Source organism: Homo sapiens, chromosome 14, assembly GCF_000001405.40.
Source record: "Homo sapiens chromosome 14, GRCh38.p14 Primary Assembly".
Lineage (NCBI taxonomy): Eukaryota > Metazoa > Chordata > Mammalia > Primates > Hominidae > Homo > Homo sapiens.
In genome coordinates, this window is record NC_000014.9 from 57902698 (window position 1) to 57929616 (window position 26919).

The window sequence follows — 26919 nt, forward strand, 5'->3', positions numbered from 1 at the left end:
TGTTAGAATTAAAAGAGATGATATATGTAAAGTGCTTAACAGGATGCCTAGTAATCAATCAGCATAGACTGCTGTAATCCCCTACTTACTCTTGAATGCTAATGAGCCTTCACATTTTGTGCCATCTGCATGGAAAGCTCTTCCTCCCTGATACCTGCATCACTCCCTCTCTCCTTTCCTTCAAGTCTTCTTAAATGGGACCCCATCAGAGAGGCCTTCCCAAACCACCCTTTCTACACAACACATCTTTGCTGACGTTTTTCTACCTCCTCACCCTGCCTTATTATTTTAGTATATATTTCTACCTCATATGTTACATGTTTATTAGGTTTTTTTATTGTCTTTCTCTCCCCCAAAAGAAGGCAAGCTCCATGAGGGCAGAGACTTTGATTAGTTTGCTGCAATGTGTTGAGCATCTGGTACACTGCTGAGTAAATAATTTTTTCTGTCTTTATGCTTCATCTTCAACCCTTGGTTTTGTAGTAGGGAAGAGAGATCAGGTTCAACTCTCAACACAATAAGGAAAAGTGGGAATTTGTAGCCAAGGAACAGGGGAAAGGGGATCAACAGATGGAAAATTCTTAAGAGAAAACATCAGGAGTAAGAGAGGATTCTGGCTATCAGAATTCTTGCTAAAGGCAAGCCAGACCTCACCTGGGGAATATGTGGGAAGATTAGGAAACTGATCAGATTTTGGCTAAACTGACTTAGCAAGATTCTTGATAACATTGGACAATGTAAAGATAAACATGGAAGCTCAGAAGTCAGAACATAGTTTAGAAAGTTCAGAGGAGCCTAATTACAGTTTGATCAAGGGGAGAATCTTTGTCAATATCCATCTTCCCTTCCCAACTGCCTGCCCTGCAGACCTCAAGATCCATCATCAGATATGAAGAAGGCAGCCTTATAGAAACTGTTTAGCCCAATACATCATGAAAACCTAATTTAATCTAATTAATGTCTCATTTAAGTGTTAGTCCACTGTCATAAGACAAGATTTATTAACAAAAGTCTAAAGTGCAATAGCAAGAAATCTAGAAATCTCTGACAAGAAAAAATTATGTAAAAACATATTTACTCTGAATAAAATGAAAGCTTATCAGTGAGATTGGAGATCTATTCTAACAGGTCGTTTAAAACTCATTTCCACAGGCCTTCTTATGACCCAACAATAGATTTTCCTGAGCATATCTATCTCAAAAAATCTTTTGATTCTGTCACTTGACAAGAATTTCTTAAGTTCTATCTCTAAACAACTTAATTAACTGGCTTAGAGATTGAAGAATATTCTTGCAAAGAAAAGAAAAAAAGTGCTGCTTTTAGAGCTTGTTATTAGCTTGGGAAAGTGGAATCACTCAGTAACTGAACAAAGAATAACTATAAATATTTAGTAGTTTAATATTCTGATGCAACTCTGCATCAATTTGTCACACTGATAGATCCATTAACAATTTAAGCCTGGTCTGCACAAGCTCTGAATTATTCATTTCACCATAAAACTGTCAACATCTCTGGAAGGTGTATCTATTGGTGGTAAAGTTATACTAATGTGCATTTATGGTGGTAGAAGAAAAAACAACAACCAAAACAACCATAACCCTCTCTCCTGCTCGGTCTGTTGAGAAAGTTCTCAACTTCCTAATGAAAATTTGGACAGTTTTGTTATCCATAAAGGAAGCAAACGGTATTCTCAGATTTCTCTTGAGTTGATGTAATGGTCAGAGCAATTACATGGACTCCCATGTTCCACTCCAAGATTGGGATACTCACACAAATGCAAGACAGTGAATGAGCAAGAAGTTTAACACCAAAGCAAAGTCAAACTGATTTCAAATTTCTGTTAACTTTATCTATATCTGAAAAGAGTTAATGGGAGAAACATTGAAGTGGGCTTTGGATCTCTTTGCCTTTTTGTAGGTTGACACTATTAGGATTTTCTGTGTCAGGATCTAGGATAAATTTTTTTACATGTATCATCTTCAATCCACAGCCCCGCTAGGTGGATACCGTTATTCTCTCCCATTTTAAAGATGAGGCAAGTGAGGCTCAGAGTTAAAGCACTTATTCCAAAGTCACAAAACTAGGAAGTGATGGTGCAGATCCCAGCACCAACCCAGATGCTGGGATCTGCTCTGACTCTATCCCAAAAACCTATGCTTTTCATTACTTCTCCATGTAGCTTCAACTTTGCAAGGAGCAAATATAGAAAGACCACAAAGAAAAGGCTATTTTGTGTCTTTATGACATGACTTTTGTTTTATTCATCTCATGCTGCAGGACAAATCAACCCAAAACTTAGTGGTATGTAACAATAAGAATAATTTTATCTCATAATCTCATGTTATGTGGGTCAAAAATTTGGGCGTGTCTTTGGCTAGGTGGTTTTGGCTTGAGCCTCTCATGAGTTGCAGTTAGACATCCACTGGAAGTTTACCAATCTGAATTATTAACTGGGGCTGGAGGATCTGCTACGAAGGTGACTCACTCTGATGCCTGCCAAGTTGGTGCTGGCTGTCGGCAGCAGGCCTCAGTTTCTCTCCATGTGAGCCTCTCCACAGGGCTACTTGAATGTCCTCATATAATGGCTGGTTTTCCACATGGAATGAGCTGCCCATGACACCAAGGGTGAAGCTGCAATGTCTTATATGATCTAGCCTCAGAAGTCATGCAATGTTCTTCCACAGTATTTCTATCAGTCATAAAGGTCAACCCTGATTCAGTGTGAAGGAAACCATGCAAGGGTGTGAATACCAGGAGGTCAGGATCTGCAGGGGAATCTTGGAGGCTGGTTACCTCAATCCTGCTAGTCCTCTGGCACTTAGCAGATTACATTCTGCCTGTAACAGTGTTTGAGTTGCCTCTGTGGCCATGCAGAGTTAGAAAGTCAGGAACTTATTGCAAAACTACTGAACCTTAGAGTACTTTTAGCTGGTGGTGTGAATGCCAGCATCTGAAAGCAGGTGTGCTCAGACTCAGCTCCAGCAGATGAGGGAGGGTTTTCTAGCCTGTCTGGAGTGAGTGGCCACTGAAAACAATAGCAGTTAAAGAAAGATGCTTTTACAAGATGGAATCTTTAGAGAGAAAAGGAGGTCAACATGAAAAAGACAGTGGAGAGCAGATCAGAGAGGATGTGCCAGCTACAGGAGACAGGAGCATGATGAAAATGGAAGAACAGGGGAAAGGGTATGGGCAGAAGGGAAAGCAAGTTTAAAAGGGTTTGAAGCAAAGGCATCAAACTCCAAAAGACAGAGCCCTGACAATGAGTTGGTAAGAAGGAGGCTTGTACCCAGGGCATTCCGCACAGCATGAGGGCAGGAGATCAGAAAGAGGACACAGAAACGGAACCAGAACACACGTCTAGCACTGTAGGCATGAGGACAGTGTGCATCCCCCTGGTGACCAAAACTCAGCCTAAACCTTGACAGGGTATACTTTCAAAAAACTTTTTATCACAAAAGTAATACAATACATGTGCTGAAAATTCAGAGAGTGCAGAAATAATAAAAACAGAAGGTAGAAGTCCACCATACCCTAAAGATGACTGCCACTTACAATTTGGTATATGGCCTCTCAGGCCTTTTCTGAGACTGTGCAGCCACATAGAGAAATGTATAAGACTGGCCTGCATATATTGTACTGCACTTGCTCTTTTCACATAATAGCATAGCTTTCACATCTCTCTGTATCAGTCAGTAACTACAGAAATGCCCCATTCTTTTTTAAGTTTTTTGGTATTCTGTCTTATGATTGTTGCATGACTTATTTAACCAGTGCCCTAACAGGACATTTGAATTGTTTCTTATTATTTACCACTATAAATAATGCTTGAGGAAACATCTTTGTACAAATATCCTTACATATTTGTGGGAGAATTTCTACGGAAAAATTCCAAAAAGTGGGATTGCTGGATTAAAAAGTATGCATATTCAAATTTTCAATAAATGTTGCCTTACTGAAAAGTTGTATCAATTTGCATGCAGGTATCTTACATTGGATATCTATGGCTAACATCCGAGCAAACTCAACTATAAGCTTATTCATAATATTGTCAAATATTCCTAAGCTGTGTGTCATGATAAAAATTATATGTATTTGGAAAGGGTCATTACATTGCAGGGTAAAATACGTCCAATGATCAAAGCATCGTACTTATTCAAGTAATCATGTATGTGTTTCCACAGATTTGAGCTGTACACATTAAATGCTTCCCGGATACAACAGGATCCAGCCCAAAAGCCACAGTGTCTCTTTGACCTTCCCTTTGCTTTCCAATAACCAATATTCTTCAGGCATTTCTTCTATCAATAAAAAGTATCTGATAAACCATAATCACTTTAGTATGTATTGGTTGCATTTGTGACCCTTTATGGAATAATTTGCAAGATTTATTTATTTGATTTTAGATATGGGAATCTCTCTTGCTCTGTTGTCCAGGCTGAGGGGCAGTGGTGCAATCATAGCTCACTGCAGCCTCAAACTCCTGGACTCAAGTGATGATCATTAACATTTCTTTGGCAATACAGTATTTTTTAAAGTATGCACTTTTTAGGTATAATGCTATTGTACACTTTATAGACTACAGTTTAGTGTAAACATAACTTTCATATGCACTGGAAAAACAAAATCTGTGTGGCTCACTTCATTAAAATGTTGACTTTGTTGTGGTGGTCTGGAATCAAACCCACAATATATATTTCTGAAGTGTGCCTGTATCCACTTTGGGGCAGGGGAGAAGGAAACTATCCACTTCAGTTGCCAGGAAAACAGAAATCCTCTTCTTAGCAAATAGTGACTAAGGAAAACCCATCAAAGCATTACTTTATGTGAATTAAATTCCAAAAACATGGGTTAAAATGTGGTTCCCATCTTATATTAGCATTAACAATCCCTATACTCCTTATTTGAGGGGCATAGGTTAATTAATAAAAGAACTGTTTGGAAACAGTTCTTTTGTATACATCTTTGGACACTGTTAAGCCATTAGTGTTTGCTTGCCTATTCATTCAACACATATTTGCAGAACCTGTATGAATAAGGCACTGTTAGAACTACTGTGGGAACCATCCTAGGTGCTGAAAGAGATACATGCATAACCAGGATACTTTTAAAAATAATAATAAACCTTATTTTTTTTTATTTTACGTTCTGGGATAAATGTACAGAACGTGCAGGGTTGTTACATAAGTATATGTGTGCCATGGTGGTTTGCTGCACCTATTGACCCGTCCTCTAAGTTCCCTCCCCTCACCCCCACCTCCCAACAAGCCCTGGTGTGTGATGTTCCCCTCTCTGTGTTCATGTGTTCTCATTGTTCAACTTCCACTTGTAAGTGAGAAAATGAGGTGTTTGGTTTTCTGTTCCCATGTTAGTTTGCTGAGGATGATGGCTTCCAGCTTCATCCATGTCCCTGCAAAGGACATGATCTCATTCATTTTTATGGCTGCATAGTAGTCCATGGTTTATAAGTACCACATTTTCTTAATCCAGTCTATCATTGCTGGGCATTTGGGTTGATTCCATGACTTTTCTATTGTAAATAGTGCTGCAATAAACATATGTGTGCATGTGTCTTTAGAGTAGAATGATCTATATTCCTTTGGGTATATACCCAGCAATGGGATTGCTGAGTTAAATGATATTTCTCGTTCTAGATCCTTGAGGAATTGCCATACTGTCTTCCACAATGGTTGAACTAATTTACATTCCCACCAACAGTGTAAAAGCATTCCTATTTCTCCACAGCCTTGCCAGCATCTATTGTTTCTTGACTTTCTAATAATCACCATTCTGAAGAGATGGTATCTCGTTGTGGTTTTGATTTGCATTTCTCTAATGATCAATAATGTTGAGCTTTTTTTCATATGTTTGTTGGTGGCATAAGTGTCTTCTTTTGGTAAGTGCCTGTTCATATCCTTTGCCCACTTTTTGATGGGGTTGTGTTTTTCTTGTAAATTTGTTTCAGTTTCTTGTAAATTCTGGATATTAGCCATTTGGCAGATGGATAGATTGCAAAAATTTTCTCCCATTCTGTAGGTTGCCTGCTCACTCTAATGATAGTTTCCTTTGCTGTGCAGAAGCTCTTTAGTTTAATTAGATCCCATTTGTCAATTTTGGCTTTTGTTGCCATTGTTTTTGGCGTTTTAGTCATGAAGTCTTTGCCCATGCCTATGTCCTGAATGGTATTGCCTGGATTTTCTTCTAGGATTTTTATAGTTTTGGGTTTTACATGTGAGTCTTTAATCCATCCTGAGTTAATTTTTGTATAACGTGTAAGGAAGGGATCCAGTTTCAGTTCTCTGCAAATGGCTAGCCAGTTTTCTGAGCACCATTTATTGGATAGGAAATCTTTTCCCCATTGCTTGTTTTTGTCAGGTTTGTGGAAGATCAGATGATGGTAGATGTTTGGTGTTATTTCTGAGAATAAACCTTATTTTTAGAACAGTTTTGGGTATGCAGCAAATTTAGTGAAAATGACAGAGAATTCCTGCACACCATCTGTTTTTGCACATGGACAACCTCCCCCACTATCAGCACCCCACCCCATAGTGGTATATTTGTTATAATCAATGAACCTATGTTGACATATTTTTATACAAAATCCATAGTTTACATTACGGCTCACTTTTGGTGCTCTACATTCTATGGGATTTGATAAATATATAGTAACAAGTATCCCCATTTAGTATCATACTGAAATATGATACTAAACAGTTTCATAGCCCTAAAAATCCTCAATGCTCCACCAATTTACCCCTCCTCCCCTTCAACCCCTGGCAACCATTGATCCTTTTCCTATCTCCACGGTGTTGCCTTTTCTTTTCTAAAATGTCATACAGTTGGAAATACACACACACACACACACACACACACACACACACAAACACACAGATCGGTTTCTTTTCATTATTAATATGCATCAAAGGTTCTTTCATGTCTTTCCATGGTTTGATAGCTCATATTTTTTACCACTGGATAATATTCCACTGTCTGAATGTAACACAGTTCATTTATCTCTTTGCCTACTGAGGGATATGTTGGTTGCTTCCAAGTTTTGGCAATTATGAATAAAGCTGCTATGAACATCTGTGTGCAGATTTTTATGTGGACATAAGTTTTCAATTATTTTGGGTAAACACCAAGAAGTGCAATTCCTAGATCATATGGTAAGAGTATTTTTAATTTTGTAAGAAACTGCCAAACTGTCTTCCAAAATGGCTTTACTATTTTCATTCCTGTCAGCAATGAATGAGAGTTCAGAATTTGGTGTTATCAGTGCTTTGGAATTTGGCTATTCTAATAGGTATGTTGTAGTATCTCACTGTTGTTTCAATTTACAATTCCCTAATGATATATGATCTTCAACATTTTTTCGTATATTTCCGTGCCATCTGTATGTCTTCTTTGGTGAGGTATCTGTTCAAGTCTTTTGCCTATTTTTTTTATCAGATTCTTCATTTTCTTATTACTGAGTTTTAAGAATCCTTTGTATATTTTGTATATCAGTCCTGTATCGGATGTGTCTTTTGCAATATTTTCTCTTAGAATTTGGCTTGTCTTCTCATTCTTTTAACATTGTATTTTGCAGAGAAGAAGTGTTTAATTTTAATGAAGCCTAGCTTATCAATTACTTCTTTCATGTATCATACCTATGGTGTTGTACCTAAAATATTATCATCATACCCAAGGTCACTTAGGCCTTATCCAATGTTGTCATCTGGGAGTTTTATATTTTTGCATTTTAGATTTAGTTCTATAATCTATTTTGAAGTAATTTTTATGAATGGTGTAAGATCTGTGTCTGGAGTCAATTTTTTGTGAATGGATGTCCTGTTGTTCTAGAATCTTTTGTTGCGAAGACTATCTTTGCTCCTTTGTCATAGATTAGTTGACTATATTTATGTGGTTCTACTTTTCAGATCTCTATTCTGCCCCCATTGAACTATTTGTCTAGTCTTTTGCCAAATACACACTGTTTTGATTACTATAGCTTTGTAGTAAGTCTTGAAGTTGGGTAATGTGAGTCCTCCAACTTTGTGCTTCTCCTTCAATATTTTATCAGATAATCAGGCTCTCTTGCCTCTTCATATAAGCTTTAGAATCATCAATATCTATAAAATAACTTGCTGGGATGTTTATTGGGATTGTGTTGAATCTAAAGTTGGACAAAAAGTGACATTATAACAATACTGAGTCATCCTATTCATGAACATGGAATATGTCTCCATTTATTTGGTTTTTCTTTGTTATCTTTTATCAGAGATTTGTGGTTGTCATCATGTAAACCTTGTATCTATTTACTAGACTTATACCTATGTATTTTATTTGGGGATGCTAATGTAAATTGTAATGTGTTTTAATTTTAAGTTCTACTTGTTCATTTGCTGGTATATAGAAAAGTGATTAAATTTTGTATGTTAACCTTGTATTCTGTAATTTTGCTATAATTGCTTATAAGTTCCAGGGGTTTGGGGTTTCATTATTTTGCTTTTTGCCAATTTTTTTGTTTTCTACATAGACAATAATGTAGAAAAAAGCTATAAACAAATTTTTTTTCCTTCCTAATCTATATATCCTTGATTTCCTTTACTTGCCTTATTGCATTAGCCAGAACTTCTAGTATGATATTGAAAAGCAGTGGTAAGCGGGGACATCTTCACCTTGTTCCTCATCTTAGTGAGAAAGATTCAAGTCTCTCCCCGTTACGTATGATGTTAGCTGTAGGCTTTTTGTAGATGTTCTTTATCAAGTTGAGGAAGTTTTTCTCTATTTTTACTTTGCTGAGAGTGTTTATCATGAATGGGTGTTGGATTTTGTCAACTGCTTTTCTGCATCTATTGATGAGATCATGTGATGTTTTTCTTTGTTAGCCTGTTGATGTAACAGATTACATTAATTGATATTCAAATATTGGACCATCCTTGCAAACCTGGGATAAATCCCACATCGTCATAGCGTATAATTCTTTTTATACATTGTTAGATTCAATTTGCTATTATTTTATTGAGAATTTTTGCATCTATGTTTATGAAAGATACATATAGTTTTCTTATAATGTCTTTGTCTGATTTTTGATATTAGGGTAATACTGGCTTCACAGAATGAGTTAGGAAGTATTTCCTCTGCTTCTATTTTCTGAAATAGATTGTAGATAATTGGCTTAATTTCTTTCTTAACTGTTTGGTAGAGTTTACTAGTGAACACATCTGGGCCTAATGCTTTCTATTTTGGAAGGTTATTAATTATTGATTAAATTTATTTAACAGGTATAGGCTTAATCAGATTGTTTATTTCCTGTTGTATGAATTTCAGCAAATTGTGTCTTTCAAGGAATTAGTTCATTTCATCTAGGTTGTCAAATAAAGTTGTTCATAATATTTCTTTATTATCCTTTTAATGTTTATGAGGTTGTAGCAATATTTTCTCTTTCATTTCTGTTATTAGTAATCTGCACATCTTTTTTCTTAGCCTGGCTAGAAGATTACTAATTTTATTGATCTTTTCAAAGAACCAGCTTTGGGTTAATTTTCTCTATTGATTTCCTATTTTCAGTATCACTAATTTCTGTTCTAATCTTTATTATTTCTTTTCTCCTGCTTACTTTGGATTTAATTTGCACACTTTTTCTAATTTGCTAAGGTAGAAACGTAGATTATTGACTTTTATATTTTTATTAATTTTTAATATAAGCAACTCAAAGCAACAAATTTCCCTTTAGAAACTACTTTTATGCCACAAATTTTGGTATATTGTGTTTTTATTTTATTGTACATTGTGCTTTTATTTAGCCCAAAATATTTTTAAATTTCTCTTGAGATTTTGCCTTTGACCCATGTGTCATTTAGAAGTATGATGTTTAACCTCTAAATATTTTGGGTTTTTCCAGCATCTTTCTGTTGGTGATTTCTAGTTTAATTCCATTATTGTCTGACAATAGACATTGCATGATTTCTATTCCCTTAAATTTGTTAAGCTGTGCTTTATGGCCCAGAATATGGCTTATCTTCATGAATATTCCATGTGAGCTTTAGAATAATGTGAAATCTGCTGTTTTTGGATGAATAGGCTATAGATGTCAATTATATCTACTTGACTGATGGTGCTGATGATTTCAAATCTATTCTTACTAATTTTCAGCCTGCTGGATCTGTCCATTTCTGATGAATATTAAAGTCTTTAACTATAACTATGGATTCACTTATTTCTCCCTGAAGTTCTATCGGTTTCTTTCCTCACATATTTTGATGCTCTGTTGTTAGACACATACACAATAAGGATTGTTATGTCTTTTTTGAGTATTGACCCATTTATCATTATGTAATGCCCCTCTTTATCCCTAATAACCTTCTTTGCTCTGATGTTTGTTCTGTGGAAAATTAATGTACCCACTACCACTTTCTTTTCATTACTGTTAGTATGATATATCTTTTTCAATCCCTTTCCTTTAACCTACTTTGTGTCTTTATATTTAAAGTGTGTTTCTTGAAGACAACATAAAGATGGGTCTTTTTTTTAATTCACTCTGATAAACTCTGTCTTTTAGTTGGTGTACTTAGATCACTGATGTTTAAGTTGATTATTGATATAGTTAGATTAACATCTACCATATTTGTTACTGTTTTCTCTTTCTTACCCTTGTTTTTTATTCTTACTTTTATCTTCTATACTTTTTCTGCCTTTTGTGGTTTCAATTAAGCATTTTATATTATTTTATTTCCGCCCCTTTCTTAGCACACCAATTATTTTTTTCAACGTTTTTTAGTGGTTGTCATAGAGTTTGCAATATACATTTACAACTAATCTAAGTCCACTTTCAAATAACACTATACTACTTTACAGGTTTAGTATTTGAGAAGAAGGTGTAATCTATCGCAGCATAATAACAAAATAACATTAATTCCTCCTGCCCTTCCTTTAATCATTGTTGTCATTCATTTCACTTATATTAATATATAAACATATACACACATAAGCATACATAATCGAGTACACTGCTATTTTAAACAAATTATCTGTTATATTAATTTGGAATTGTTTAAATGCTTCTGTTTTGCCCTCATGTATTCATTCTCCAATGTTTTTCCTTGCTTTATGTACATCTGAGTTTCTAATCTATACCATTTTCTGTCTCTCTGAAGAACTTCTTTTAACATTTCTTGCAAGGCAGGTCAACAGGCAATAAATTTCCTCATTTTTTGTTATCTGAGAAAGTGTTTATTTTTCCTTCACTTTTGAAGGATAATTTTACAAGGTACAGAAATCTAGGTTGTTGGATATTTTCTGAACACTTCAAATATTTCACTCCACTCTCTTCTTGCAAGTATGGCTCCTAAAGAGAAGTTGGATGTAGTTATCTTTGCTCCTATATAGATCAGATATTGTCTTAGTCTGTTTTATGCTGCTATGAGAGAATACCACCAGTGGGTAACTTAAGGAAAAAAATATTCTCACAATTCTGGAGACTGGGAAGTATAGCACCATCATCTGTCACAGGTCATCCCGTGGTGAAAGGTAAGAAGGTAGAAGCAGTCACACAGGACAGAGCAGAAAAGGGGGCCAAACTTGCTTTTATAAAAAACCCAGTCTCAGCCGGGCATGGTGGCTCACGCCTGTAATCCCAGCACTTTGGGAGGCTGAGGTGGCCAGATCACAAGGTCAGGAGATTGAGACCATTCTGGCTAACACAGTGAAACGCTGTCTCTACTAAAAATACAGAAAATAAGCCGGGCATGGTGGCGGGCGCCTGTAGTCTCAGCTACTCGGGAGGCTGAGGCAGGAGAATGGCGTGAACCCAGGAGACGGAGTTTGCAGTGAGCCGAGATCGCGCCACTGCACTCCAGCCTGGGCAGCATAGCGAGACTCCGCCTCATAAAAAGAAAAAAAAAAACCACAGTCTCTCAATAACTAACCCACTCCAGCAATAATGGCACTAATCCATTCAGGAAGGAATCTCTTTTTAAAGATCCTGCCCCTCAGCACTATTACAATGGCAATAAAACATTAAGTCTTAAAGCTAGAGAATAATCTCCTTTCACTCCATGTCCCACATCTTGGATATACTGGTTTAGGGGTTAGGCCCTCAAGGTCTCAAGTAGCCCTGCCCCTATGGCTTTACTGGGCTCAATCCAGCAGCTCTCATGGCTTGGAGTTGCACACTGGTGACCTTACAGTTCTAGGATCTCGGGGCAGCCCTACTCCCATGACTCCACTAGGCATTACCTTAGAAGGGACTCTCTGCAGCAACCCTGCCCCTGCAACAAGTCTCTGTCTGGGTCCCCAGGTGGTCTGTAGCATCCTTTGAAACCCAAGTGGAGGAAACCATGCCCCCACAGCTCTTGCATTCTTTAAGCCTGCAGACAAAACCACATAGATGCTGCCAAGGCTTACTGCTTGTACCTTCTGGAGCACTGGATTGAGTTAACACCTGAGGCCACTCGAACCATAGCTGGGGTGTCTGAGGAGCACTGCACCAGAAAGTGGGAAACAGAGTTCTGAAGCAGCCCTGAGCACAAAGCTACGCCCATCCTTTGAAACTATTCTGCCTTTTAGAGCTCTAGGCCTATGATAGAGGGGCACTCTCGAAGATCTTTCAAGTGTCTTCAGGGCGTTTCTCCCAACGTCCTGATGAAGAGCACCTGGCTACCTTCTATCTATGGTAATCTCTTTAACAAATGGTCACTTGGCCACACCCTTAATTTTCCCTCCTAAGCATACTCTTTTATGCTTTACATGGCAAGGCTTCAAATTTCCCAAATATTTCCATTCTGCTTCTCTTTTCATCATAAATTTCATTTAAAATCATCTATCTTCTTCACATCTCACTATATGTGGTTAAAAGTAGCCATGCAGCAGACTGAATGCTTTGCTACTTAGATGTGACTTCCACCCGATATACTATTTTATCATTCTTAAATTCTACCTTCCATAAAGCCCCTGGGCATGGACACATTTCAGCCACGGTCTTTGCCACATTATAACAAGGATGGCCTTTACTTGAGTGTTCAGTACCTTGTTCCTCATTTCCATGTAAGACCTCATCAGAATGGGCTTTAGTGTCCAGATTTCTACCAATATTTTGATCACAACCACTTGAGTAATTTCTAAGAAGATTCAGACTTTTTCCAGTTCTGGGGTCTTCTTCTGAACCCTACTAGAATCACCCTAAATGATCTGTTCATGGCAATACAGGCTTTTTTCTAGCCTGTTTCTCCAGATTCTTAGCCTCTACCCATCCCCAAGTTCCAACACCACTCCCACATTTTCAGATATTTGCTACAGCAACAACCCTGCTTCTTGTTATCAATTGTTTTAGTTCGTTTTCTGTTGCTATAATAGACTATCACAAATGGGTAATTTATAAAGAAAAGAAATTTATTTCTCACAGTTCTGGAGGTGAAGAAGTCCAAGAGCAGAGTACCAGCAGCGGGCAAGGGTCGTCCCATGGTGAAACAATGGAAGGGGGAAGCAGGGATGAAAGACAGGACAGAAAAGGGGGCTGAACTCATTTTTATAACAAACCCAGTTTCGAGATAACTAATCCACTCCTGCAATAATCCCATTAATCTATTGATGAGGGCAGCGCCATCACAACCTAATCAGCTCTTAAAGATCCCACCTCTCAACACCGTTATGATGGCAATTAAATTTCAAATGAGTTTTGGTGGGGATATTCAAACTATAGCAGTTCTTCTCCTCTGGCTTCAAGATATTTTTCTTTATCATTGATTTTCTGAAGTTTAAGTATGATATGCCCAAGTGTAGGATCTTTTTGGTATCTATCCTGCCTGGTGTTCTCTGAGCTTCCTGGATCTGTAGTTTGGCATCTGACATTAACTGGGGGGAAATTCTTAGTCATTATTGCTTCAAATAATTCTTCTGTTCCTTTCTCCCCTTCTTCTCCGCTGGTATTCCCATCATGCATATGTTACAACTTTTGTAGTTGTCCCATAGTCCTTAGATATTCTGTTTTGTATTTTACAGTCTTTATTTTTTCTTTAATTTTCAGTTTTGGAATTGGGTACTAGGCTCACTACCTGGGTGATGGGATAATTTGTATCCCAAACCTTAGCATCATGTAATATGCCCATGTAACAAACCTGCACATGTACCCCTGAAATCTAAAATAAAAGTTGAAATTATTTTAAAACCTTTTTTAAATTTTAGATGTTTCTATTGTCAATCCTCAAGCTCAGGAATTCTTTTCCAAACCATGTCCAGTCTACTAATAAGCCCATCAAAGTCATTCTTCATTTATGTTAGAGTTTTTGATCTCCATTATTACTTTTTTATTCTTCCTTAGAATTTATATCTCTCTGGTTTTGTTTTTGTTTGTTTGTTTGTTTTGGGGGGTTTTGTTTTGTTTTGTTTTGAGACGGAGTCTTGCTCTATTGCCCAGGCTCCCAGGCTCCCACGCTGGAGTGCAATGGTGCTCTCTCAGCTCACTGCAACCTCCACCTCCTTGGTTCAAGTGATTCTCCTGCCTCAGCCTCCCGAGTAGCTGGGATTACAGGTGCACACCACCACTCCCCACTAATTTTTGTATTTTTAGTAGAGATGGGGTTTCACCATGTTGGCCAGGCTGGTCTCGAACTCCTGACCTTGTGATCTGCCCACCTCGGCCTCCCAAAGTGCTGGGATTACAGGCGTGAGTCACCACACCCAGCCCTCTCTGCTTACATTTTTTTTATTTCTCCTTGCATGTTGTCTACCTTTTCAATAAACCTTTTAGCATATTAATCACAGTTTTTTTTAATTCCTTGTCTGATAATCCCAACATTTCTGCCATATCTGAGCCTAGCCCTGATTCTTGTTCAGTCTCTTCTTTTTTGCCTTCAATGTGACTTGTAAATTTTACTGAAAGGCAGACATGATGAACTGAGAAAAAAGAACAACAGTAAATCAGCCTTTAGTAATATAGTGGTAATGTGGGGGTGGGGTGGGGAAGCATTCTATAGTCCTGTGATTAGGTCTTTTTTTCATTTTCATTTTCATTTTTACTTCAATTTAAATTTTAGATACAGGGGGTACATGTACAGGTTTGTTACATAGGAATATTGCACGATGTTGAGGTTTGGGATATGGATCCCGTTACCAAGTTAGTGAGCATAGCACCAGATAGTTTTTCAATCCATTTCCACCCTCTATGACTAGGCCTTAATCTGTTAGTAAGCCTGTGGCCCTGCATTATGAACCTTACCAGTGCTTCTCAGTCCCCCACACACATCCCCTCCTCACCTTTAGCTGTGACAGGATGGCTAGAAGGGGCTGGAGTTAGGGACTTCTCTTCCCCTATGTGGAAGTCTGGAGCTGGATGTGGTTGGATGTTTTTCTTTCCCCAGCAAGATTAGGCTCAGCAGTTGAGGATCTGGTATAATAGTTTATCCTAAAGGCAGGCCTTGTTAAGAAGAACAGAATGCTCTGGCACATCCCAAAATGGTTGCTTTCCCTCTGCCTTTGCCAGAAGCATGAGAGGATTTTTCTCTGATACTTACTGTGAGAACCTGATCGAGCTCCTGGAGGCAAAACTCACAACAGTGTAGGGGCCTTTCTATGACTCGGTCTCCCTGGAGTTTTTAACTCTCAGACTTGGCCACCCTGAACCTCCAGCAATTCATGAATTACAGTTCAGTTTTCCTACCCCAGTACTGACTCCTCTGAAGATTCCTACTCTGGTAAGTTGTGACTCTCTGTATCTGCCTATCTTTCCAATTTGGGAGGCGGTGGTTTTCCCTGTGACCTCACTTCTCTGTCAGATCTAAGACAGAGATCTGTTGACTTTTAGTCTGTTTAGATTTTAACTAGTTAGGATGGAGTGGTGACTTCCAAGCTTCTTACATGTCAGACCAGAAATTTGAAGTTGACATGGTCTTATAAAAATTTATTTACCATCTCAAAGCCAAAAGGGCAAGAAACAAACAAATTCCTTGTCAAATTTGTAATTACCTAGAGAAAATTTGCAGAACGAGGAAGGGATGGTACAGCTGCAGGAAGTGAATTGGGACCTTGACCCACACCTGCTGCTGACTCTTCTATAGAACTTGCCAAAGTTCCAGAGGCGTGACTTAGGTGCTGTGGTAGAAATAAGACAGGATTGGGGTCCAGCCTATCCCAAGGACGGCTTTGGAAACTGCTTGCGGGGCTGGAGTGAGTCAATTAGGAGATGGTTAAGTAAGTTAACACCATAGTTTTCACCCACTTAAGATAGCATAGTGTGACAGAAACTGCTGGCTAACACCCCAAAAATTTATATTTCCCCTTCTGTAGTGTGCATTTGTTGCCAGGAGGTGACTGTTCAACCACAGACTTATTTCCTACTACTTCTTGCATGCAGGTGTGACCACGTAACTGGCTCTTACCAATGGAATGTTAGTAGAACTGATATGTTCCATTCCAGGATTTTCCATGGTTTGGATGCAGAAGACAGAGGAACCATGAGATGGAAGGAGCTCAAGAGTCTGAATTACCCTAAGTAAGACAACTCCCTGCTGAACAGTATTACACACATCAGACTGGTATATGGTGAAGAAATAAACTTTTACTATGTTAAGCCACTAAATGTTTGAGATTTATTTATTATAGCAGCCCTAACTAATACAGGATTACACTCATGGCCCAAGGGACAATAACCTACTCCTTATACTTTGCTATGAAGTAGAAAAGCATTTGGAAGTTTTCTAACTTGCGACACTTCAAAGGAAAAAGCAGTTAGGGAAAGGGTTTTAAGGAGTAGTTAACACATGCCAGGGCGAGTGTGAGTCTCAGAGTAAATTATCTACTCTTTGTTTTTCTGATTTCCCATCATACTTCACTTCTGCAGGCAGGGAGTTGTGGGAAAGCGGGGAAGAAAAAGCAGCTGTATTCTTCCACAGGCGAATCTGAGGACAGGGATTTTATATTCCAGGGGTGGACCAGTAACTAAGACCACCAGATCAAGGAGTTTTCAATTATATGATCTGGGGGTGGGGGAGCGTGGACAGAGTTCATTCCCAAGTAACTACAACACCAAGCCATGAAATAACAGACAGCCGGGATGTGCAGAGAAGGCCAATGGGAAGCCCAGGCAGAGACTTCACAGCACTTTGGAGGGTCATGGAAGGCTGAGGGAGAGGAGAGCTTTGGAAATTCTTTCTGAAGATGGAGAGCAATTTTGACAGAGGGCCAACTTTGATGTGGAAGAAGGCTCAGTGAGAAAGTGGTGATTCTTTTAGACGTGGTGATTCTTTTAGACATGGTCATTCTGTACCTCTATAAACCACTTTGCCACCTTTCAGATCCCTTTCACATGCCTTGCCTCCTCTCATGTTTGCTCATTACCATGAGCAGTAAACCTCCCTGTTCAATCTGCCACAAAACCTGTGAGATGGATAGAGACACAATATATGCACGTTGTTTCCTTATCTTCAGTTAAAAACTCACGTTTCTTTCTGTATGAAACGTGTATCTTCCAAAAGCCACTTAAATTTATTTAACCATGCTAGTTCAATTGAATTACAGTGCTGCCAGTGGGTTTACTCTGCGTTGCCTTTGGTTATAAATTCTTCTGACTTCCTAATTCCCAAGTCAGATATGAAACATTAATAAGAATATACATAAAAATCAGGCCAGTTGCAGTGGCTCAAGCTTGTAATCCCAGCACTTTGAGAAGTCAACGCAGGAGGATCACTTGAGCCCAGGAGTTGGAGACCAGCCTGAGCAACATGGTAAGACCTCATGTCTACAAAACTAAAAAATTAGCCAGGCATGGTGACATGCCCCTGTAGTCCTAGCTATTCAGGAGGCTAAGGCAGGAAGATTGCTTGAGCCCAGGAGCTCAAGGCTGCAATGAGCAATGATCACACGATTGCACTGCAGCCTGGGCAACAGAGTGAGAGCCTGTCTCAAAAAAGAAGAATATATATAAAAATCAGACCAATTACTTCACATGGGATTGGAAGCCTTTGGCGGACTCTGTCCAACTAATCCAGTCAACATTTCTCCCCCTAACTAATGAGCAGCCTTGGCTCTCAGGTCAAGAAAAGACAGGTGTAAAATTAACCAGTCTATAGAAATAAATATAGTAATGTATTCTAATTAGGTCTATAACCCCTAATGGGACACCTTCTAGCCCAATAAGCTTTAGTATTTGGAGGATCCCTTCCACATTGAGAGACTTGAGAAGAAAGAGCCATAGCTGAGGCCTCTAGGAACATTTTTACATCAAATGTATAGATTACATTTGTTATTTTAAAAATGGCTTTTTATAACAAATGAACAGTGATATTTTACATGAAACATACGTACACATCATTGAAAGGAAGAACAATTGAAGATGATTTCATGTTAATGTGTTCTCCTATTATTTTAGACACTCACCATCTTCAGAGCAAACTTTGTACTCTTTTCACATTTTTGTTACAATGTTTATTTCAGGAGATTGTTCATCTCACTGAACCAGAACACACATCCACTTGGTAAATGCTCAGATAGTGGTTAAGTTCACTAGCACCCATGGCAATGATAGCACGGAAACCAGACAAAATCCAGAGTTGAGCTGGCTATTGTCTATTAGAATCCAAGTCAATATTGTGTACCATGCAGAGGGATAAGAAGGCAGGAAAGGGCAGGGCAGGTGTAGTATCAAGACACTGGAAGTCATTCTCGTGACAGGCAACCAGGATCAGAAAAGGGCTAAACCTGGGCTTCATCCTCCTTCCACAACATGCTAGCTGTATTATCTTGGGCAGTTATTTTACCTTTTGAAACCTTGGCTTTTTCATCTCTAAAGCTGGAGTGATAATAGTACCTAAGGTCCTTAGACCAGTATATTAGTTTGCTATGGTTGCCATGGCAAGGAACCACAAATTGGTTGGCTTAAACAACAAAAATGGATTGTCGCCCAGTTCTGGAGGTTAGAAATCTGAAATCAAAGTGTCAGCAGGATTGGTTCCTTCTGAGAGCTGAGGGAAGCATCTGTTCAGGCCTTTCTCCTTGGCCTGCTGGCAGCCATCTTCTCCCTGTCTTCCCTTCATGTGGGTCTGTATCTCTGTTCAAATTTCCCTTTTTTATAAAAATTCCAGTCACACTGGATTACGGGCCCACTACTATTTTAGTATGACCTCGTCTGAACTAATTACATCTGCAATGACCCTATTTCCAGATTAGGTCACGTTCTGAGCTGCTGGAGGTTAAAATTTCAATGTTATTTCAACAATTTAGGTTGGGGAAGGCAAAATTCAACCCGCAACAACCACTTTGCAAAAAATGTTAACTGCTGATTTCTTATGATTACCCCAGTGTTTTGGGGTTGGAGTTTCAGGCCACAAGGACAGTTCTTGCTAGCTTGATGGCCAATGGAGGAGGGCTGTAGCCAAACTGCCATCTGTGTCAGGCTCTGCTGCTAGATGAGATCTTTGATTCTGAATCACACATGCCTGGTCAATGGATCCCACTGCAGGGTGCAACCCTCTGGGCCAGGTCACAGGGAGCTATAGGATGTTCAAAATTTTTTTAATTTTGTTTTCTGGGTCAGTGATTCTCAAACTTCAGTGGGCATACACCCAGAGAGGTTATTAAAAATGCAGGTGCCTGAAATAGAGCCCTGAAGTTTCTAATTCAGCAGAATCCATCTGAGATAGGGCCCAGGAATTCATATCACTACTTTCCCCTTCCACACCCAAAGAAGACACCATTAACCAATTATAGAACTCTGTTCAACCTAGTAATGACTACAGAATCCTTCTCAACACGGTACCCCATACAACTACTACTAATTGATGGTGAGATGAAATCAACTAGCCATTTCTGCCTAAGCCTTAGAGCAGGTCTGTGTTTCCTAGGGCAAAGGAGGAGTCACACAGTCTACACAAGACCCTTTATTACTGATGCCTGAAAGAAATGCTATAACTTTTGCACAGATTCAGGGTTCTCTCTGTCCTCCTCTTCCTCTGCTCTGTGTTCTGTTGGATAGATGACAGCACAGTGAAATGTAAAGTCAGACCAACTATATTAAGCACCTTAATCAAATCTCTGGAATGGACAATTTAGGCCTGGGCAACCGAGATCTTGACACTGGCTAGTTCTGTGACCTTGGGAAGTGTCTCTGGACTTTGATTTCTACATTTGTAAAATGTGGCATTAGGCTAGATGAGCTATCAGTTCCCTTCTTCCTCTAACATAGCTGATTCTGAGTGCTGGGATTAGTAAAAATCCAGGGAGATGAACTGTGTTGTCCAGCATTCTAAGAAAATAAAAGTTAAAGACCTCAATGAAGTAGATTTAATGGGAAAATTTGCGTTTGAGTGCCTACTAAGAGGCAAAAGCCTTATATGCTTTATGATATCTCACTTCATCCCTATGAGCTATGGTAGGTGCCGTTGTATCTATTTTTCAGGTGAGAGAACAGTGGCTTAGAAAGGTTGAATTAACTTGGCCAAGATGATGCATCTAATAAGAAAAGGCTCTAGAATTCAAGGTTTTTTTTAACCTCAAAGTCTATTTTTCATATAATCAGTTTCAAAATCCTTCAAACACTTTCTCAAAGTGTATTTAAGATTAGGAGCCTGTATGAGATTGATTCATATGAAATTACCAATATTCAGTCATTTTTGTCCTATGTAAATGGCAGTTTCAAAAGTTCAGCCTAATCATTCATTCACATGTGACCCTGTAGACTGACTATTCTTCAGTGGATTTACTTTGCTCACTGACATTCCTCCACGCACTCAGCCACCCAGGTGAACTGATCCTGGCTGGTCACTCAGTCCTGAAGTGTATCAAGCTTGGCAGGGCATTCAGGAATATCCCTAGCTCCTGGAAATACAGAATTCTATCCAACCAACAATGTACAAAATAGCTGAAGTCCCTGTCTCAACTTTCTTGAAATCTATGAAGGAAATCCAAGTATAAATCCCTAGCCAACCACACTACTTTCCCATTTCACATCAGCTCCAAAGCCTCCTTCTCAATGCTTTTATTTCCCTCTTCTCTCTCTCCTGTTCCCTAGTTCTCTGTTTTGTGGATTGACTTAGATCTTTAGAAAGGATCTTCCCTCTTTAGTTGGAGAAGAGGAGAAGAATTGAGCTACCCATCTGAGGATTCTCAATAGAAAGCTGGAAGAAAGTGGATGTTTTGGACATCACTATCTGTCTTAGTCCATTTTGTGTTGCTGTAAAGAAATACTTGAGGCTAGTGATATGGTTCGGCTGTGTCCCCACCCAAATCTTATCTAGAGTTGTAACTCCCACAATTCCCACGTGTAGTGGGAGGAACCCAGTGGCAGGCGATTGAGTTATGGGGGTGGGTCTTTCCTGTGCTGTTCTCATAATAGTGAATGAGTCTCACAAGATCTGATGGTTTTAAAAATGGGAGTTTCCCTGTACAGGCTCTCTCTTTGCCTGCTGCCATCCATGTAAGATGTGACTTGCTCCTCCTTGCCTTCAGCCATGATTGTGAGGCCTCACCAGCCATGTGGAACTGTAAGTCCATTAAACCTCTTTCTTTTGTAAATTGCCCAATCTCAGGTATGTCTTCATCAGCAGTGTGAGAATGAACCAATACAGCTGGGTAATTTATAAAGAAAAGAAGTTTGTTTGGCCCATGGGTCTGCAGACTGTATAAGAAGTATGACACCAGCATCCATCTGCTTGCCTTCTGGTGACAGCTTGTCTACTCATGGCTGAAGGCAAAGGGGAGCCCTGTGTACAGAGATAACATGCAAAAGAGAGAGAGAAAAGGGTGATGGGGGCATGCCAGGCTCATTCTCTTTACTTTCCTCTTTCTTTCTTTTTTTTTTTTTAAGACGGAGACTCGCTCTGTCACCCAGGCTGGGGTGCAATGGCGCTATCTCAGCTCACTGCAAGCTCCGCCTCCTGGGTTCACACCATTTTCCTGCCTCAGCCTCCTGAGTAGCTGGGACTAGAGGTGCCTGCCACCACACCCAGCTAATTTTTGTATTTTTAGTAGAGACAGGGTTTCACCGTGTTAGCCAGGATGGTCTTGATCTCCTGACCTTGAGATCTGCCCGCCTCAGCCTCCCAAAGTGCTGGGATTACAGGTGTTAGCCACCAAGCCCAGCCTACTTTTTTCTTTCTTTCTTCCTTCCTTCCTTTCTTTCTTTTTTTTCTCTTTCTTCCTTTTCTTTTTGAGATAGGGTCTCACTGGAGTGCAGTGGTGTGATAATAGCTCACTGCAGCCTCAAACTCCTGGACTCAAGCAAGTTATGTGCCACAATGCCTGTTATTTTTGTTTGTTTGTTTTTGTTTTTTTTAAGAGACAAGGTATCACTATGTTGCCCCGGCTGGTCTTGAACTTCTGGCCTCAAGCAATCCTCCTGTCTTGGCCTCCCAAATTGCTGGGATTACAGGCACAGCCATCATGCCTGGCCACGAGGCTCTTTTTAACAAGCTCTCGCAGGAACTAATAAAGTGAGAATTCACTCATCCCGCACCCTCCCACCCCAGAGAAGCCATCAGTCTATTAATGAGGGATTCACTCCCATAGGCCCCACTTCCATTAGGCCCCACCTCCTACACTGGGGATCAAATTTCAACATGAGATTTGAAGGGCACAAATATCCGAACTATAGCACCATTTTTATAATGTCTGCCTTGTAATACAGACTTCAGGTTGGTTTGTTGTTTGTTTTTCACATACATTCTTCTCAGCCTATGTGGAGCCCCAAATAATGAAGAGTTTTTTTGAATAAGAACTTACTCCCAGTGGTATATTTTCTACATTTTGGGAGACTGGTTGACCTCAAAGACCGAGATTAGGCAAGAACAGATTCTCCTAAGAAATGGGAAGGAAAGAAGGAAGGAAGGAAGGAAGGGAGGGAGGGAGGGAGGGAGGGAGGGAGGGAGGGAGGGAGGGAGGGAGGAAGGAAGGAAGGAAGGATGACAGGCAGGAGAGTCCTGGAGTAAATAGAATAGAGAAACACTTAAGTAGAATGTTCTGAACTAAGCTTGAAGGAGCTTTTTTTTTTTTTAATAAAAATGGCAGAATAGCATTTATTCACATTTTTAACAGGTTAATTTGTGTCATACTACAAGTGTATAGACATACCTGAGTTGGCTTGTTATTATAACACTTACATCCAAATTTAAACAATACATAAAAAAACCCACTAGTTTAAATCTTACACAAGGTACACAATTTGTATTCACAAAGTGTTCACTCTTGTCACCACCATCTCTTCTTCCTCGTGTATCTCAGCCTCTATCATGTGCCACTTCCTGGGCATTTACTTAGCACTTGCCCCTTTACAGGGGCTTTTGTCTTTTCTTTTTAGAGACAGTATGGCATACACAGATCACTTTTGTGCCTGAATCACCATCTACGAGTTCTGTAAATGTGGGCACATTTTTTAGTATCTTTATGTATCAGTTCCCGTATGTGTAAAATGAGAGTGGTTCACACTACCTGGCAGAATGGTTGACAGTATTAAGTAAGTAAATGCTACAGAGGCCATGGCTATCCCACATCAGACACTCAAAACAGGCCAGCTACCATTTTTACAAATAAACCGTAAAGCCCTGGAGGCAGAGCCTCTGTCACTAACCTTTTTACACCCCTAGCACCTCTCCCAGTGTTCAGCACGTGCTCTACAAATGTTTGCTGTGGCAGGGCTCTGGCTGCCAAACATTAGGCTATTTCTATGGTTTTTTTAGAAAGTTTTGTTGCCTACTTTCACCGAGGAAATTTACAAGCAGATGTCACATGGAACTTCTTTTTTCCATCACTTACACAGTCACGCAAACACATTCACACAGACTTTTCCCACTTCCAACTGGTGCTAGTTGAAACTTATGCACATTTACTAAAGGGGGAAACAACCTTCTGAGGAGTAAGGCAGTGATAAAAAAGCAACCTGATACTAGAAAGCAAGTTGGGGGGGAATTTATATGTATATGTGCCACTGCTTTTCATGGTCTTGCACACTGTAAGTGAGGTATGAGAAAATCCCTAATAAACCTTACAATTAATATGATTTCCTTCTTTGGGGAAGATATCTTTACCATTCCTTTTATAAAAAGGAATATAACAATGAAGTAGGGTTGGGGGGGGGGGGTGGATATATATAGCCAAAGGCACAGTGATGCCTTAGAGAGGGGATGAAAAGTTGAATGACTCACACACCCTTGGCCGACTTGGAGAAGATATCACCAGTGTTTCCAAAAGATGTGCCCAATGTATGTCCTTCCCTCACCTGAAGTGGAGCCTGCGATTCCAAAGCTGCCCTCTGGTCTCCTTTTCTGTCCTGCTGAGTAGAGGAGATGCAACGCTGAAATAAGCCACAGACTTAGAAAATAAAAAGAAGCACAGCCAAGTGACCAGACTTAAGAATGAAGGCCACATTCCCCAAAGCCATTGTTCCAACCTTACTTAAAGGTGCAGCATATGTGACCTGCCTCAGAGATGGCCCCTGCAAGTGACACCCCACTGACACTACATGAAGGTTTGGCTGGGTCAGCCGTCCCTGTGGATCAAGGTTTGCCAATCTGCAAGCTGTCCTGTTTCTGATAAAAGGAACAAACTTCCTGGAAGTGGTAGCTATTAAAGCTTGATCATAACAATGCCTGCCTTAGGGGTAAGACTGTAGTTTTAGAAAGGGTGTCATATACACATTTCCTTGCGTCTCAAAAGATCTAGGTCATAACTAGAGGCTTCTCCTGGTGGTTCAAAGGGACTCAAGGTTTAGAGACACTTGATCTCATAGTCGCCACTCTAGAATTTTCTGACTGGTTACCTTTGTCTGGAAAACTTTTGCCCTCATTGTCTGAGTGACTAGGTGGTTTGAGTTTTTTTTTTTTAATTACTTTTCTTCTTCTTTTTTTTTTTTGAGACAGAGTCTCACTCTGTCACCCAGGCTGGAGTGCAGTGTCATGATCTCGGTTCACTGCAACCTCTACATCCAGGGTTCAAATAATTCTCCTGCCTCAGCCTCCCAAGTAGCTGGGATTACAGGCACCTGCCACCACATCCAGCTAATTTTTGTGTTTTTAGTAGAGACAGGGTTTCACCATGATGGCCAGGCTGGTCTCGAACTCCTGACCTCAAGTGATCCACCCACCTCAGCCTCCAAAAGTGCTGGGATTACAGGCATTAGCCATCACGCCTGGCCCCTGTCTTTTTATTCTCTAACTATTACAGAATCTTTCACAGAACAAAAGTCTTTAAATTTGATGAAGTCCAATTTATCAATTTTTTCCTACTATGCCTCATGTTTTTGATGTCAAGTTTCAGAACTCTTTGTCTGGATCTAGATCTCCAAGATTTTCTCCTACTTTTTTTCTGAACAATTTTTTAAGTTTTGGGTTTTACATTTAAATTTGTGATGAAAGGAAAGTTTTAGACAATAACTGTTCTACTCTGGTGTAACACCACAGAAGAAAAAAAAAAACCTGTGGACCCACCCTCACCCATACAAGCAAAGACTCATGGGAGAGCCTAGACTTTGATCCTTACCATGCTATAATGAGGCACTCAATCCCCCAGCCAGGGTGGTATCAGAGATGCCAAGTAGGGAGGTGGGACTTTAATCCTTGCCAGCCAGTAAAGAGCTTGCTTTCTTCTCCTCTCCTGACCTCTACCGTGTCAGTAGAGACAACGTGGAGAGCCTGTACTTCTATCCCTGCCAGGTACTAAGGAGGCACTCCTCTTTCTCCCTACTGCAGTGGTGTTGGAGGAGGCCTGTGGAAAGGCAGGACTTTCACAATCACGCAGTACTAACAAGGTCACCCTGACTGCACAGTCAGTGGGCACCACGTGGAGAGCCGGAACTCCCACACCCACCCAACAGTCATGAGGAACACTTTTTCCTCGGGCATTAACTGAGGCTGAGAGGGAAACCTGGGCCTCTACCTCTACTGGCAGTAATAAGGCTATGCCCTCCCTTCCCCTGGCAGTGTGGTGTGCGATAAAGCTAGTTAAAACAGAAAGGTTTCAGTAAGACTCAGAGTCCCATAATGTAATCCAAAAATGTCCAGGTTTCAATAGGAAATCACTTGTCAAGAACCAGGAAGATCTCAAACTGAGTGAAGAAAAGCAATCAAAATGTGCCAAAACCAAGATGACAGAGATGCTAGAATTACCTGACAAGAATTTTGAAGCAGCTATGATGATAATAATGCTTCATCAATTAAGAACATCTTGAAACACATGAAACAATAACAAACTTCCTCAAGAAGAAGAAGAACCAAATGGAAATTTTACAACTGAAAAATACAATAACCACAAAAGCTCCGTGGATGGTTTCAACAGAGGAAAAGAGGAAGCAGAGGAAATAATCAGTGAACTGGAAGATAGAACAACAGAAATGACCAAATCTGAACATTAGAGAGGAAACAGACTGTTAAAAAAATGAACAGATTCAAATTTTCCAGGGAAAAAGTATTGAAATGTAAGTAGTCTTGAGCTGTAAGAGATTGTGAACCCCTGCAAGGGTGGTGGGCCTGGACTGAAAGAGATATGGTAATCAGAGTTCTGCAAGAGTAGCTTCTATTTTCCATCTGCTATATTCTCCTCAATGGCTGGCCAAACAAATTGTTCTATTACCTTGGCCTCTCTTTGTCCAGTGGTCAAGGTGAAATAATAAATGAAAGATGAGTAAACTAAGCAAAAGAATATGAAAATATAATACCTTTCATCTTAAATACGGCATTTAAACATTAAAATGTTTCTTCTAAACATTTTAGAAGAAATGTTTGGGAAAACCCAAACATTTATTTGGGTTTTCCCAATAAGCTGGCTACCCTCTTACAGCACCTTAGAGCGGGAGAGAACTTGACAGGGTTAAGTTCACCAAGAAGCAAAGAACCATTAGTGTTCAGGAGATACTGACACTAAAACCTGTAGCTGTTGAGTAGTGTCCCTCACTTTTGTATCTAACCTTTACAAAATCCTCTCACACCTACCACTTCTTTAGTAAATGCAGACTTGATGGACCCA

At 39.6% G+C, this 26919-nt stretch overlaps 1 protein-coding gene across 1 annotated transcript in view, besides 1 other annotated feature; it reads right to left on the reverse strand.

The window, feature by feature from the left end:
- SLC35F4 (solute carrier family 35 member F4) overlaps nucleotides 1-26919 on the reverse strand; it is a 419262-nt gene that overhangs the window by 338778 nt on the left and 53565 nt on the right. The gene's annotated exons all lie outside the window — the stretch shown is intronic.
- Nucleotides 1315-1484: an enhancer, noted in NCBI's record as "experimental_34475 CRE fragment used in MPRA reporter constructs". NCBI's record gives its function as "activates a minimal promoter by MPRAs in K562 erythroleukemia cells, with activity observed for the non-introgressed 14:58370815 variant allele {active_cell/tissue: K562}" and the evidence as "EXISTENCE:reporter gene assay evidence [ECO:0000049][PMID:34662402]".